Source organism: Homo sapiens, chromosome 11 (genome assembly GCF_000001405.40).
Source record: "Homo sapiens chromosome 11, GRCh38.p14 Primary Assembly".
In the NCBI taxonomy this organism is placed as follows: Eukaryota; Metazoa; Chordata; class Mammalia; order Primates; family Hominidae; genus Homo; species Homo sapiens.
In genome coordinates, this window is record NC_000011.10 from 56328684 (window position 1) to 56344071 (window position 15388).

General features: G+C 38.0%; 2 pseudogenes, besides 1 other annotated feature; one reads left to right on the forward strand and one right to left on the reverse strand.

The window, feature by feature from the left end:
- Positions 2224-3856, reverse strand: FAM8A2P (family with sequence similarity 8 member A2, pseudogene; annotated as a pseudogene).
- Positions 3428-3928: an enhancer, noted in NCBI's record as "H3K4me1 hESC enhancer chr11:56099587-56100087 (GRCh37/hg19 assembly coordinates)". NCBI's record gives its function as "activates a minimal SCP1, AML or CMV promoter by ChIP-STARR-seq in naive H9 embryonic stem cells {active_cell/tissue: H9 hESC(naive)}" and the evidence as "EXISTENCE:reporter gene assay evidence [ECO:0000049][PMID:30033119]".
- On the forward strand, positions 6460-7386 carry OR8K2P (olfactory receptor family 8 subfamily K member 2 pseudogene; annotated as a pseudogene).

A 15388-nucleotide genomic window follows, 5' to 3' on the forward strand; every position in this document is an offset into this window, starting at 1 on the left:
TTTGTTCATCTCCTGCAAAAACACAAGCATATCCTCACCCCCACGTTAGTAAATGCACTGAAACACAAGCAAAAGCATTTGTGGCTGTAGCTGGGAGGCATGCCATTGCTGAAGCATTTGTAACTCAGCTTCTGCCCTTTGGTTAATTATCATGGGGGTAAAACTTGCCATTGATAATGAGAAGCAGGCTTTTTCTGATTAACAGAAAGCATAGAAAAAGCAAATCGAGGCTTATCCTTCTTGTGCAACAGTATAGCAAAAAAGTAATCCTTAAGCCTTCAATTTGCACTGTACAGGTGGGTCCACTAGATGCTGTGGTTCATGATAGATCTTCAGATGTTTGGTGGGCACCCACACAGGCACCTGATTGTCACGTGGAGAGACACAAGCAAATCCTCTTACCATAAAATTATCTTTCCTTTTTCCCAGCTCTTTGTATGTGCATCCCTCTACCATACATCTTGTCCAGCCTTTTTATTTTCCTTTTGTCCTGTCAAGTGTTGTTCAGCTGCAGACATGGGTTGATCTTGCTGAATTTTTTCCTCAATTAATTGATGTTCCTCCCATGCTTTTTTGGACATGAAGCGTTTACTGTTAAGGTTAGAATCACCTTGTAAAGTAAAAAAAGAGGTGAGACATAGCATAGGCAGGAATGTCTAAAGTTGGACAAATCCAATTAATGTCTCCTAATAACTTTTGGAAATCATTTAAGGTTTCTAAATTATCTTTTTGAATTTGAACCTTTTGAAGCTTAATAGCACTTTGCTTTACCTTCATTCCAAGATAATGAAAGGGAGTAGAAGTTTTGATTTTATTGGGGGCTATAATTAACCCTGCCGCATTTACAGTCTTTTATAACTGTTTGTAGCACAACATCAATTCTTCCCTAGTCTCAGCTGTACACAGAATATCATCCATGTAATGGATGATATAACATTTTTTAAACTGTCTTCTAACTGGCTTAATAGCTTTCCCACATAAGTTTGACAAATAGTCGGGCTATTTAGCGTGCCTTGTGGTAATACTTTCCAATGGTAGCTGTCCACTGGTTCTTCATTATTTATGGTGGGAACAATAAAAGCAAATTTTTCATAATTTTGGGCAGCTAAAGGAATGGTAAAAAAAAGCAATCCTTTAGATCTATCACTATGAGAGGTCACTATTTTGGTATCATTGCTGGGGAGGGCAGCCCTGGTTGTAGAACACCCATGGGTTGAATCACAGCATTAGCAGCCCTTAAATCTGTTAACATTCTCCATTTCCCTGATTTTTTCTTAATGAAAAATACAATAGAATTCCAAGGGGAGAAAGTAGGCTGTATATATCCCTTTTGCAATTGTTCCTGCACCAGTTCTTTTAAAGCCTCCAGTTTTTCCTGTTTCAGTGGCCATTGCTCCACCCAAACCGGTTTGATAGCCAAACAAGAGGATTGGGAGCTGGAGGCTCAACAATGGTCGCTCCTAAAAATGACACCCCAATTCGGTCTGATCTGTTTGCCCTTTTAATTCTAAAGGTTCTGATTGGCCATTTTTATATTGTCCTAGTCCTTTTCCCAGGTGATATCCCATGTTTTTCATCATTTGTCTGCTATGATTACTATACTGATCCATAGGAATAGGTATTTCAGCATCCCATTGTTGCAATAAGTCTCTACCCCATAAATTGATAGGAATAGGTGTAATGATAGGTTGGATTGTCCCTTCCTGACCATTCGTCCTTTGACATGGTAAAATCAAGGAACTCTGAAAAACTTCTGAGGCAGCTCCTACTCCAACAATACCAGTGGATGCCTTTTGCTTAGGCCAGTGCTGGGGCCATTGATTTATAGCAATAATAGAGACATCAGCTCCAGTATCTACTAGTCCTTCAAAATCTTTTCCCTGAACAGTTACTGTGCAAATAGGTCTTTTGTCAGACACTTGATTAACCCAATACACAGCCTTTCCTGCTGGATTATTATTACCAAAGCCTCCTGTTCTTTTCACTGTGCTGCTTCCTAGTTTTATATAAGGTAACAGCAACAACTGAGCAATTCTTTCTCTTGGGGAGGCAGAACACGGAGAGGAACTAATAACTAATTGAATCTCTCCAGTATAATCAGAGTCAATTATTCCCATATGTACAGTAGCACCTTTTAAATTCAGACTAGACCTTCCAAGTAATAGGCCAACTGTTCCTCAGGGTGAGGGTCCCCTAACTCCTGTGGGTACCTTCTTTGGTGGCTCCCCAGGAAGTGTGAACTAAAAGATGAGTTACATAGATATTTACAATACACAACTGGACATTTTCCATTATTTTGGGATAAACTAAAATAAATTTTAAAGTTTCATTTGGAGATTTCAAAGCTGAAGATGCTTTCAGCAAATTCTTAGATCTTAAGAAAATGCCTTAGATCTTAAGAATATATTGTTCATTGTTTATAAAATCATTTGCCTTTTTTATCTAAAAATTTTAATACCTGAATTTAACAGGTTTTTCTTCTGGACAAGTTCTTTGACATTTAAGTAAAATCAATACTTTCAGAGTAATCATCTGCATCACACTGGAGTGACTGCTTTAATTTCTAAATCATCAATTAGTGTAGCCCAGGGATACTGATGGCCTTGATACATAATTTAGTCTTGTCATTATAGCGTGTGGAAATCAGGGCTTTGGGGGCATCATCTGACCCCATTTCTTTTTACCACAGTGGTTCCTGCCACAATATCATAGGCTGATCGATTATGCTGAAAAAACAGCAGTGTGATGCAAGCAGGGAAAAAAGAAGCAATTGAAAAATTCTTGATCAAAGCTCATGTAGTGGACATTGTAATGCTAACGTTTGAGGAAAGAATCACTAAAACCCGACTTAGTGCAATAAGCACTAATGTATCACATGTCACAACTCGAAGCCCCACCAGGAACTTCCCTGGGGTAGCTCCACCTGCTCCCCAGATGCAAATTATCTCATAGAAACAAACTAATAGTCTGCATCATTTTCTGCAAGTCTTCCACTGATGTGTCTTTATCTATTTTTTCCATTACATAATGCATAGCAAACTTAGAGATATCCTTTATCCCACTGAGGTGCATAATGCTTAAGACAATGGTTGCTTTTACAAAGAAAAGAATAAAGAAACTCACCATCCTGGGCCAAGGATGGAATAACATATTCTCCGCCTGCCTGTTGCCCGGTCTCACTCAGGCTTCACGAAGGGGCTGCTGATCCTACCTTCGTCACTGGAGTGGCCCAGACTGATGCCTGCACATGAGAAGCCCGGGGTCCCAGGCCAGTTACTGGAGCCTGGGTGCTGATGCCAGCAGCTGTACCCGGGTCAGGGCCGGCGGCCCAGGACTCAGGAAGTAGAAGGGGTTGTAATAGCCCAGCCACTGGGACAGCAGCGCTGTCCGAAGGGAAGCTCTGCGGGGACTGCTGGGGACTGCAGCAAGCCGGGAAGGCGGCCTGGCCAGCGGTGCCAGGTGAGGTAGCCACAGCAGGACTGATACAGCCACTCGCGCACTTGCCGGGAGCACTCGGTCTCTCCCGCGGGGCTGTGCCTTGGGCACTTCGGCAGCCCAGCACGGAGCCGGAAGCAGCCTCCCCGCGCTTCCTGAGCTCACCGGGGCGGCTCTGATTTGTCAGGCACAGCCATGAGGCCCGGGCTGTGGGCTGGCCAGGGGCATGGGGTTTGGCCTGGGGGTCGTCATGGGGGCATGGGACGGTGGCGGCAGGAGGGCCTCTCAGGGTAGGGAGGGACTCGTGGCCCCCTCCACCCTCGTCGTGCCCAGGAGGGCGGCCTTGGGCTTCCTCGGGCCCCTCTGCCATTGTCGCCTCAGCAGGACCCAGCACCCCCCGCCGTACCTGTCACTGCTCCGTCTTTATACACCTTTTTGAAAAAATCTCTTCCAATTCTCTCCCATTCATCCAACTCCATAGTCCCCTGTTCCGGGAACCATGGGCAAAACAGCTTTACTGTACTAAAAAGTGATAACAAACTGAGTACCAACTTTTACTCCCCCACTTCATAATAAATGCTTTAAAAAATTTAAATAAGCAGAATGTCTGCATTCACTTTGTCCCATTGTTACCCTGGTTCTTCCCAGCGCTCAGCTTTCCCGCCGAACTTCTTTTAGACGACCTCGGGTGTCCTTTGATGAGGCGTCCTCTGCTTTCACACGCTCTAGCGTTCCTTCACCAGGGTTGCCCCACATTGGGCACCAGGAATGTTGGGGTGCTCAGACCCAACATCAGGTCTTGGGGGCAATGAAGTCCGGCGGAGTCAAAGGAATGAGAAAAAGACAGTTTGAGAGAGAAATTGGGACCAGGGGGCCATCACAAGTGTGGAGGCTGCAAAGTCCCCAAGCTCTGGGAGGCCATGCTACTTATTGGTGCTCAAACAAACAGTTGATGGGGATGTGGGGATTGAAAGGAAACAGTGTATGAAGTGAATGAGAAACATTTGGCTGCTTGAGATAACAAGAGTTCTAGAAGCAAGGAGCCAGCAAGTCTAGCAGACACGCAAGCCCTGCCTCAGCTTCTCTCTCAACACTCAGCTTTTCTCCGAACAAAGGACTATTGGTAAAATTTAAACATTTCAAAGCAGTGACACTGTGGCTGCAATACTGAATTCCTTTGTTCAGTCCACTGCATCTCCTATTCTACAATAAAACCCTTTGAAGGCATACCCTGACATCTGGTAAGTTCAAAAGAATGTTTTCAAAAATGCTGGACTTACGGTTCTTACTTGTAAGGGAGGAAAGAGCCAGAAAGACAGAATGGAATTCAGTGAAGAAAGAACAAACAGTTTCATCTGGGAAGAATGGTTTCAGACAGCTTACCAATCTCCAGTCTTGCTCTCCTCCCCTGTCCTTACTTCCTGAGTCAGAACAGCAAGATCTACACATAAAACTAATCAGTTGCTGCTAACTTCCACAAGGTGAGAGTGCTCTAACTCCTCTAACCTATAGGTTTGGACCTTAAGGTGGGCTCCCAGAAGGTTCTACTTGATAGTTGTGTGGGTTAAACCTGACATTCCATGAAGTTATAACTAAATTCTGTATTTTATTTGACTGAATATTTTAAAATGCAACTACTGCTCGAATTGAAATTCATGCTTGCAGAGTTCCATGTTTTCACTGAAGAGAAACTGAATGGTAGAAGAGGAGAGACAAAGAGATTAGGCTAAAGCAGATTTTACTAACTTTAATCAGACCTGTTCCACTTTTTTTTGCTCATGTCCCACATTAATTAGATTAAATAGAGGACCAGTACTTATCACTGAAATGTTTGAAAATCACAGTGTAATGATCTGTATTCTATGGGGCAATATTAGAAATAAACGGTAATTTATATGTGATGTAATAAATGCTCAATGCTTTTAAATGCCCTCTAAACTCTGTTATTTTCACAGTGATATCTTAAAGGAAATAAAACTTATAAAATTAAATATTCATAATCCCTCTGTATTGACATAAAACAAATATTTTAGTAGGAATAGATGCACATGTTGGTAATCATTAAGCTTATATTAGTTTGGGAGTTTTTCTTTTTTCTTAAAAAATAAAATTACACATTTAAGTTGAAATATATGTAAATATTTAAAAGAAAAAATAATACAAATTTTGTCATAAACCAAAGGTCAAAAAATCATAAAATCTATAAATATTATTTTATTAATGAAATTCCAGACAAATCTCTGCACATTTGGTGGTAAGGGTGTTCTTAGTGATCATTCCTACACCAAAAGAGATAGCATTATTTAATAATGTCATTGATTTTGAGCCATATAAATATACCCATTAAACATCAAAGTATCATTAACTCAATCCTTTGTTAGCTGGGTCCTAAAAATGCCTGCAGATATGCTAATGCACTGTTTTGTCAGATAAAGTGTGATGAAGTGGAAGTCAGAATATTAATGGAAAGTGGCCTTAGTTGGTCATGGTTAAAATATCTTTGCTTACAGAATTTTCACAAAGACATATTACTTGTGAGTTTATTGTTAAATCCCTACCCAGAAAGTGCAAGTGAGGGAAACTAAAATTTAAACAACAGTAGCTTCATGCTATCTCTATCTCACTTTTTAATAATAGCACAATTCCACAAGAATTCTTTGGAAAATATGGAAGTATACTAGAAAAAAAAAACTGTGACGCCACTGTGTGGGTGAAATAAAGTCTAACATTTCCATATTAATAACTATATAATTTTGTTATCAATTGATGTGTTCCAAACATTATTGATATTTACAGTTTAACTTACCTCATAATTATATGTGTATTTAATATGGGTCCCTTCTTTTGATAGAAGTTTTCTTGTTTTTTTTTTTTTTAGTTTTAGGATCAGATGTAGAAATAATGTTTATTACCTATCGTGAATAACACCTTTTGTCTACAAATGTTATAATTTGTTTAGATGACATTACATAAAATCTTTTAACAACTGTTCTGTTTCTTCCTGGAAGAGATAACTGGACTAAATGGGCCAAAAGAATCTAACAGTGCTTACTGAATTAATTCTGATGGAAATCACAAGGCGGCTTGAGCTGCAGCTCTCCCTTTTTTGGGTCTTCCTCATCATCTGCACATTCACAGTGGTGAGCAAAGAGTGCATAATCATTTTGAACAATGTGGACTTGGGTCTACACAACATTTGTGTATTTTTTAAATCAGGTACCTGAATTTTATTAATCTTGGTAATTCTATGGTCATTTATCCCAAGATACTGGTAAACTTTGTTGTGGCTCAAAATGCCATTCCCTGTTATGCATGTACCATGCAGATGGCTTTCTTCATTATGTTCATTATCTGTGAACTTTTCGTCTCATCAGCCATGGCCTATGACCACTATGTGGACATCCATAGCCTTCTGCCATAAAATGTTATGTCTCAGGAACTTTGTCATGTGCTGGTGGTATTCCATACCTTTATAGTACCTTTCAAGCTCTGATGGTCACTATAAAGATTTTTATATTGGCCTTCTATGGCTCCAATGTCATAAGTTATTTCTACTGTTAAGATGTTTCTTTGTTAGCCATGGTGGACTCAAATGCATGAGGAATAGAAATGTTGATCACACTATTTTCAGTACTTAATTTGATATTCTTTCTTCTGGTAGTCCTAATGTCCTCCATGCTGATTCTATTAACTGTTTGTTGAATGCATTCTGCAGAGAGCAGTAAAAAACTTTCTTCACGTATGTTTCTTGTCTGATAGTGGTGGTTGTGTTCTGTGGGTTTCTATACTTTATGTACTTGCAGCTCAAATTCAGTTCCTTTTTTTTTGATAATAATAAAATGACCTCCATGTTTTCCTCTTTAGTGATTACCATGCTTTACCATTTGGTCTGTAGTGTAAAGAACAAAGGGAGTAAAAAAAATGCCTTCTATAGTTTTTTTATGAAGCAGTGAAAACTTTGTAATTTAATGGTCAATATGGAATATTGTTCTAGGAAGCTATGATAGAGGCAAATGTCACTAATGAATATTTCTAGTACATATAAATACATTATTTTGGGCTCCACAGCAAAAACTGGGTATAACACACACAAATAGGTTTTTCCTTTTCTTTAGGCAAACCAATCTTCAAGTTTTATATCTCAATTAAATGTGAAGTTCTTATCAACGTCTCTTGCTTCTGATTCAATGTTTTCTTTAGTTATTGTATAGAAGCTCATATTCCTTGCCATATAAACACTTATTAAACTCTACATCAATAAAATATGTGTTCATTTCTTTAATTTTTTTTAGAAAAGGTATCTTCTCAATATTATTTTCAAAAACTAAAGCAACAATTTAAATTATGAGAATAATCTGCAGGAAGCATATATTTGGGTGATTTTTATTAAATTAATTCTGGCAATTTCTGCCTCTTAAATGGATAATGTAATTCATTTACACTTAAAGTAACTACAGATACTGATTAGTCAGGAGAGGGGCAAAATGATTGATCAGACAAGCCAAGAAGTTCTGCTCCCGTTGGGAGAAACTAAATTATGAGTAAACCAACATAATATGAACAGATCTTCAGAGAGAAAACACCAAGAGTGAATGGAGAAGTAATGCAGGCTCTGAGGTTGAAGATAAAAGAAGCTGGAAACCCTGAGTGGAATACTTGAATGCTAGAGCTAGCTCCAAGTCACCAAATAGCTCCTGGGGAATGGATGAGAGAAAGGACTGTGGAATGGCTCACTCTCACTGTGAACCTCTGAAATCCTAGCTACAGGCAACCCCATCTCATGATGAACATTTGAGCTGGCAGGAGAATCTATCCAGACAGTAGACAGAGACAAGGCTTCATTGGAGTGGAGCTGGGGGCCTTTGTGCATGGAAGAGCTCCAGTGGAACATGGCCATATGTGTCCATCCCCTAGGGCTCTAAATCTCCCTTTGGGAAGCTCTATCCCCAGCTGACTGCTAGGCTCGGAGAAAGCAGAGACAACTTCCCCTTGGAAATGGGGCCTATCTGTTCTGCAGAAATTTCCTGCCTTCTAGCCCCTCCCATGGCCCCTGCCTGGCTACCCCACAGAAGTGTATGCACAGTGCAAACTCTGTTGCCCAGGCTGGATGTTTTGCTCTACTTCAGTATGTAACTGGTGGGGTGGGAGCATTTTGGATTCTCTAGCACACTCAGAACCCAATCCCTAAGGTACAGAGAATTAAGCTGTGAACCAGTTCTGGTGCCCCAGGGCTATGGCATGCAGGTTGGGAGCACCAATCCAAGATCTGTGGCTTGTACTTGTCTGGGAGAGGACCCTACATTCTCAGAGGACTGAGAGGGTTGAGATGCACAAGTTCATAATCTGGCATGGTGTCTTCTGCAGAGCTGGTCTTGAAAGGAGGTGGACTACCTCCCTAATAAAGCTTCTGCCCAAGGGAGTCCTGTGGCCTGGAACACCTAACAAAAGAAATGCAGGTGTGGTTCCAATAATCAGAAGGGGCTCCTCTAAGGTCCAGGAGTGAAGCTAGTGAGAGGGGTCACTTCTCTTCCCTCCACACAGCAGGCACACACAAGAAAATACAAAAGAAGCCATGCAGCTGAGTCAGAGCTTATCTACTGGCCATTACTCCTAAGCATCATCTCCTGGATAGCAGCTCAAACTACAACACCAAAAATATTTTGCTATTATACCCTCCTGTGAAACAAAGGGCAAGCATATAGCCACAAATAAAGACTCTGTACAGAGCCTTGGCCCTCTGAAAACATCTAGAAACAAAGCCAACCGACTATACTCAATTTACATCACAATTAAAGGAACAACAGTCTTCCCAGATGAGAAAGAATTAGCACAAGAACTCTAGGAATTCAAAAAGCCAGAGTGTACCCTTACCTTAAAGTGAGCCCACTAGATTTCCAGGAATGGTTCTTAACCAGTCAGAAATGAATGAAATGACATGCATAGAATTCAGAATCTGGGTAGCAATAAAGATGATCAGGATTCAGAAGAAATTTAAAACCCAATCTAAGGAATCCAAGAAATTCAGTAAAATGGTTCAAGAGGTGATGCAGACATTTTAAGAAAGAACTAATGTGAAGTATTAACAGCAGAATAGATCGAGCTGAGGAAAGCATCTTAGAGCTCAAAAACCAGTTCTTCCAATCAACTCAGTCTGAAAAGAAAAGAAAAATAATTTTTTTTTTGAGACGGAGTCTTGCTCTGTCGCCCAGGCTGGAGTGCAGTGGCACAATCTCAGCTCACTGCAAGCTCCGCCTCCCGGGTTCATGCCATTCTCCTGCCTCAGCCTCCTGAGTACCTGTGACTACAGGCGCTTGCCACCATGCCAGGCTAATTTTTTGTATTTTTAGTAGAGACGGGGTTTCACTGTGTTAGCCAGGATGGTCTTGATCTCCTGACCTCGTGATCCACCCGCCTCGGCCTCCCAAAGTGCTGGGATTATAGGCATGAGCCACTGCACCCGGCCCAGAAAAGAAAAATAATTTTAAAAATAAACAAAACCTCTAAGAAATATTCCTATATTTCTTAGCTACAACTTGTTAGCTTTCCTGAGAAAGAAGGAGAAGGAATAAGCAACTTGGAAAATACATAAGAGGACATAGTCCACAAAAATTACCCTAAACTCGGTAGAGAGATTGATATGCAAATTCAAGAAATACAGAGAGCACCAGATAGATACTGTACAAGAAAACCATCCCAAAGGCTCATAGCCATAAGATTCACCAAGGTCAATGCAAAAGGAAATAAATCTTAAAGGCAGCCGGAGAAAAGGGTCAGATAACATGCAAAGAGAACCTTATCCGCCTACCAACGGACCTCTCAGCAGAAATCTTAAAGGCCAGAAGAAATTGGCACCTATTTTCAGCAGTCTCCAAAAAAAGAAATTCCAACCAAGATTTCATATTTCACCAAACTAACTTCAGAAGTGATTGAGTGATAAAATCTTTCTCAGACAAGGGAATTTGTTTCAACTAGACCAGGCTTACAAAAAGTCTTCAAGGAGGTCCTAAACATGGAATCAAAATAAGGACACTTATTGCACTTAAGCAAAAATGCACTTAAGCATACAGCCCACAGACACTATAAAACAACTACACAATCAAGTCTACATAACTACCAGCTAAAAGCACAATGACAGATTAAAATCTCACATTTCAATACTAATACTAAATGTAAATGGGCAAGCTGAATACAAAGACAGACTCAACCATCTCCTACTTTTAAGAGACCTATCTCACATGTATTAACACCCACAGGCTCAAAGTAAAGGGACAAAGAAAGAGCTACCATGCAAATGAAAAAAAAAAAAAAAAAGAGAAGGAGTCACTGTTCTTGTATCAGATAAAATAGACTAAAACAATAACAAGGACAGAGACAGATATTACATAATGATGAAGTATACAATCCAATAAGAAGACTTAACTATCCTAAACAAATATGCAGTCAACTTTGGAGAACTGAGATTCATAGAACAAGTTGTACTTGATCTATGAAAATATTTAGCCACAAGATAATAGTGGGAGACTTCAACTTCCCACTGATGGCATTAGACAGATCTTTGAGGCAGAAACCTAACAAAGAAACTCTGGGCTTAAACTTGACACTTGACCAACTAAATCTAATAGACATCTACAGAACACTCTGCCCAACAACCACAGAATAGACATTCTTCTCATTGACCATATGTTCAGTAATAAAGCAAGTCTCTACAAATTAGAAAAATCAAAATCATACCAAGCACACTTTCACACCACAATGCAATAAAAATAGAAATTAATATCAAGGACATCCCTCAAAATAAAAAAAATGACGATTAAACAATTTTGTTCTGAATAACTCTTAGGTTAACATCAAAATTAAAATTAAGGCATAAATTTTAAAAATGCTTTTCAAGTAATGAAAATAGGGAGACAACTTACCAAAATATCTGGGATATAGCTAAAGCAGTATTAAGAGGAAAGTTTATAGTGCTAAATACCTTCAATAAGAAGTTAAAAGATCTCAAACTAAAAGTCTAATTTTGCACCTACAAGTACTAGGGAAAAACAAACAAACAAACAAAAAACAGAACAAATCAACTCCAAAGCTAGCAGGAGAAAATGTAGAGTAGAACTGAACAAAGTTGAGACACAAAAATTTACACAAAAGATCAATTAAACCAAGTGTTGATTCTTTGAAAAATTAAACAAGATTGATAGACCATTAGCTAGATCAGAGATAAAAATTTGATATTACATTGTTCCCATAAAATACAAAACATCCTCAGAGAAAACTATGAACTCAATGCACACAAATTAGAAAATCTAGATGAAATGAATAAATTCCTGGAAACACACAATATCCCAAGGTTGAATTAGGACTATATTAAAACCCTGACTAGACAAATTTTTAGTTCTAAAACTGAATCAGTAATAAAAAAAAAAAAAACCTGCCAACCAAAAAAAAAAAAAAAAAAAGCCCTGGATTAGATGAATTCACAGCCTAATCCTACCAGGTGTACAAAGATCTGGTACCAATTCAACTGAAAATAATACAAAAAATTGAGGAGGAGAGACTCCTCCTTAACTCATTCTATGAATGCAGCATCTTCCTGATGCCAAAATCTGGCAGAGACACAGCAAAAAAAGAAAACTTCAGTCCAATATTCTTGATTAGTATAGATGCAAAAATCCTCAAAAAATATTAGCAAATTGAATCTAGCAGCATATCAAAAAGTTAAAACCTCATAATCAAGTAGGCGTTACTCCTGGGATGCAAGGCTATTTCAACACATGCAAATCAATATATATGATTCAACACACAACCAGAATTAAAAACAAAAACATACAATCATCTCAATATATGTAGAAAATGCCTTTTATAAAATCCAATATCCCTTCAGGATAAAAACCCTCAACAGACTAGGCATTGAAGGAATGTACCCGAAAATAATAAAAGCCATCTGTGATAAACCCACAGCCACATCATACTGAAAAAGCAAAAGCTGGAACCATTTCCCCTGAGAACTGGAATAAAACAGGGATGCCCACTCTAACCACACCAATTTAACATAGCACTAGAAGTTCTAGCTGGAGTAACCAGGCAAGAACACCAACAAAAAAAAAGGCATAAAAGTAGAAATAGAAAAAGTCAAACTATCTCTTTTCACTGATTATATGATTCTGTATGTAGAAAACCCTAAAGCTTCCACCAAAAGCCTCCTAAATGTCCAAGCTAAGAGTCAAATCAAGAACACAATCCCATTTACAGTATCCACAAAGAAAAAAATACCAAGGAATCAGCTAATGAAGGAGGTAAAAGAACTCTACAAAGAGAACTACAAAACACTCATGAAACGAATCAGAGACGACACAAACAAATGGAAATACATTGCAAGCTCATGGACAGGAAGAATCAATATTGTTAAAGTGACCATATTGTCAAAGTAATTTATGGATTCAATGCTACTCATATCAAAATACTAACATCATTCTTCATAGAATTAGAACAAAATATTCAAAAAAAAATCTAAAATTCATATGAAGTCAAAAAAGAGCCAAAATACACAAAGCAATCCTAAGCAAAAAGAACAAAGATCACTCAACTGAACTTCAAACTATAATGTAAGGCTACAGTAATCTAAAAAAGCATGATACTGTCACACACACAGATCACTGGAACAAAAGAGAAAACTCAGAAATAAAGCCATACAACTACAACCATGTGATCTTTGACAAGGCTGACCAAAAAAAAAAAAAAAGATGAGGAAAGGACTCACTATTCAATAAATAGTTCTGGGATAACTGGCTAACCATATGCAGAATATTGAAACTGTACTCACTACTTTTCACCATATGCAAAAATTAACTCAAGAGGGATGAAAGATTTAAATGTAAAATTTCATACTATAAAAATCCTGGAAGATAACCTGGGAAATAACCTTTTGACCTCAGCCTTGGAAATTAATTTTTGGATAAGTCTGCAAAAGCAATTGCAACAAAAACAAAAATTTGACAAGTGAGACCTAATTAAACTAAATTGCTTGTGCACAGCAAAATAAACTGTCAACAGTATAAACAGACAATCTTCAGAATTGGAGAAAATATTCATAAACTGCATCTGATGAAGGTTTAATACACAGACTCTATAAAGAACTTAAACCAACCATCAATCAAAAAACAACCCCATTAAAAAATGGGCCAAGGACATGAACAGGCACTTTTCAAAAGAAGACATACAAGTGGCCAACAAACAGATAAAAAATGCTAATCATTACTAATCATCAGAAATGCCAATCAAAATCACAACAAGATACCATCTGACACCAGTAAGAATGGCCATTACTAAAAAACAAAACAAAACAAAACAAAAAAACAGAGGCTGGCAAGTCTGCCAAGAAAAGAAAATGCTTATACACTGCTGATGGGAATGTAAATTATTTCAGCCACTGTGGAAAGCAGTTTGGAGATTTCCCAAAAACTTAAAACAGAGCTACCATTTGACCCAGCAATTCCATTACCAGCTATACATTCAAAAGGAAAATGAATCATTCCACCAAAAAGACACGTGCACAAGTATGTTCATCATCACACTATTCACAATAGCAAAGGCATGAAATCAACATACGTTCCCATCAATGGTGGATTGGATAAAGAAAATAAGGTACATATACACCCTGGAGTACTATGCAGCCATAAAAAAGAACAAAATCATGTTCTTTGCCACAACATGATGCAGCTAGAGGCCATAATTAAAACAGAATCAGAAAACAAAATACTACGTGTTCTCACTTTTAAGTGGGAGCTTAAACATAAACATAGGAAAGATAGGCACTGTGGACTACAAGAAGGGGGACAAGGGTGTCTGTTGAAAAACTACTTATTGAGTACTATGCTTGCTTATGTGAGTGAAGGGACCCATACCCCAAACCCCAGCATCATGCAATATACCCATGTATCAATCCTGCACATGTATCTCTGTATCTAAAATAAAACTTGAAAGTTAAAAAAAAAAAGTAATTACAGATGTTGGAAGACATACTTTCTACTTATTGCCATTTTTTTCTTAGATGTAATATTTTTGTTATTATTTTTCATCCTTTCCTCCATTTCAAGTTCTCTTTGAGTTTGTGTTTGAACTCTAAATTATGCATGGCTATATCAAATGTCCATAAGGCTTTTCAAAGAATGACCTAAGAATTTTAAGCTGAACAATTCATAGGTATCACACTGAGAAGGAAGACATTCTAGTTACAAAAAAGCTGGAACGTATCATCCTTGATCAACAACTGGGCACCCACTAGAGATTTCAGAGGCAAATGTTACTCCAAATGCTTCTGAGGGCTTAAATCTTTGTTTAAAACATTTAATATTCTTTCAAAAAACAATGCAAAAATATACAGCACTGATTAACACAAAATTCACAATATTCAGCATCCAATCACAAATACTAGGCATTTGAGAAAGCAGGAATATGTGGCCCTATCTTGGAGATAATTCAAGTAGATATTGAAAAGGTATAATGATAGAATTAGCAAGCAAGGGCTTTAAGACAACTGTTATAAATATGTTTAGTAAACTAAATGATTTAACAAAAACATTAACATAGTGAGAAAAAAATGAAGATTTATGAAACAACAGATATGGGGCTTCTAGACATAAATATACAGTATTGGATATAAAAAATATATATTGAGTGAGAACAATGGCAGATTATGAACTGAACAAAAGATGACTTAAACAGTCAACAATGAAGACTACTGAAAATAAAGCCAGAGTAAAAATATACTGAACGAAAACCATGAAAATAGTCTTAGTGATTTGTAGAACAATAACAAGTTATTTAAGTCATGTTTAATTTTAAGTCTAAGTGTAAAGAAGAGATTATATAGTGCAGAAAATACACAGTAAAAAATATTGGCCAGAATTTTCTTCTAAATGTATTTAAAAAAAACCAAAATCCTAGACATACAAAAAGC